This window comes from Homo sapiens, chromosome 13 (assembly GCF_000001405.40).
Source record: "Homo sapiens chromosome 13, GRCh38.p14 Primary Assembly".
Classification (NCBI taxonomy): Eukaryota; Metazoa; Chordata; class Mammalia; order Primates; family Hominidae; genus Homo; species Homo sapiens.
Window position 1 is genome coordinate 52,808,266 of NC_000013.11, and position 1,875 is coordinate 52,810,140.

At 39.4% G+C, this 1,875-nt stretch overlaps 1 non-coding gene across 1 annotated transcript; it reads left to right on the forward strand.

The window, feature by feature from the left end:
• Positions 1 to 1,784: 1,784 nt before the first annotated feature.
• Positions 1,785 to 1,875, forward strand: MIR759 (microRNA 759). The gene has a single exon (NR_031582.1). It is a non-coding gene; the product is annotated as a microRNA 759 (primary transcript).

Sequence of the window (1,875 nt, forward strand, 5' to 3'; positions counted from 1 at the left end):
TTGCAATCAGGCATGCATACCTGGTTTTCAGCCGTGTGAACCTGGATAGGTGACCTCATCTCCTGAAACCTCAGTTTCTGCATCTATAAAATTGGGGAAGTATCAGTTCCTTCTTTATAGGGTTGGAATAAGAATTGATGAGGTAATACATATAATGTGCTTAACACATTGTCTGGAACATAGTATTTAATTAATGCTAATTATGATTAACTTTTTAAAAAGTGGTTTAGAAAAGCTAATTAATGCCTCACTTAATTACAACCCTTAGACATTAAAAACATTTAAAAATGCCTCAGCATAGATATTCAGTGGGAAGACTTTTGTCTGTTACTTCTCAGTTAACCCTCCTGGCATTTAAATAGTGAGCGTGTGTTGAGGTGCAGGCATCCATTCTCATTTAACAAAGCCCTTTTGAATGGGTAGTTCCTTGAGGTGGCTCTAGGAGAAAGCCCTATCGTGTGTCTAAATGACCTACATTATTTGGAAAAACAAACAAAGCTGGATTGATCTGAGTTGATTGCTTTCAGAAACAACAAATTGGCTAGATTCAACGATTTCCTCCTTTCCTTCACCAGCCAATTTTTGGGTAGATATAGCTTCATTATAAAATCTGACCAAGCTTGACTCTATATAATTCAATCTCAAAGTATAAACAATCTGGAATGTTTTGTGGAAGACCTTGAATGATTTCTGAGCAGGAGATGGAAGCCTGAAGAATCAGAGAGTGAATGCATTCAGGTTTTCAGTGGCACGTGACCTTGATTAGCACACAGTAACAAACCAATTGGTGTCTCCTGAAACTGACCCCTCTCCCTTGGTTGATGAGTTTGATCCATGCTATTGTCTCTGGAAGGGTACTGGAAGAAACCTCAGGGATGAGAGGAACCTAACCTCTCATTCTGTAGATGAGGAAGCTGAGATCTAATGAGTTTGCATGACCAGCATCTATTACTCTACAATATTTTCCTCTTGGTTCCAACGCCATGCTCCATTTTCTTCAAGCAAGGGCTATTGGGGGAAATTTTCAATCATTTTCCAGTTTCCATGTTATTCACAATAAAACACAAGTTATCTTTATTAAAAATGTAAAAGTGTCAGCTTTTTAGATCTGGGTGTATCCATTTGTTTCCCTGGGAGACAGTGGGGAAGAGGCACAGTGCCTGGGGGTCGGGGCCTGGGAGGGTGGTGCCAATGGGGAGGGTGAAGAAGACCTTCACTGCCACCTTGTGGTCACCTGGGGCCAAACAGGGTCATTCCTTGGGAACCTCTCTCTGTCTAGCTTCTTTGGCTGCTTGCCTGAGATCTTTATCAGTGCAGTCAGCATTGCGTCAATGAAGCTTTTGTTATAATTTCTCTTCCATTGCATTTTCAGTTTCTTTAGCCCAGGGAAGGGGAAGTTGTTGAAAGCTAGCAAAATTCTGTATGTTGAAAAAACATCTGCAGGGAGGAAGAGGTCAGAATCCAGGAAAGGCTCTTAAGAAGAAATGTTTACGAGCTTTGCAAGATCCTTGTCTCATCTTATAGCATCTCTCCACAAGAGCAGAGATTATGGGACAAAAGTCAGGCCTGAGTTGGCACCTGTCATTATTATTACTTGGTCAATTGAGGAAGTTAGGATAGATGAGGATTCATTTATTATCTCATTTATTGGCCTTATTTGCAGTCCAATTTAGTTCTCACGTCACATTCTGATAGTCTCAGATTCAATAGCATCAGTTGAAATACTAACAATATTTTTCAGTGCAAAAGAATGACTTTCAAAGTATATATTATGGAAAGGATTATAATAAATTAAATGCCTAAACTGGCAGAGTGCAAACAATTTTGACTCAGATCTAAATGTTTGCACTGGCTGTTTAAACATTTAATTTGTTA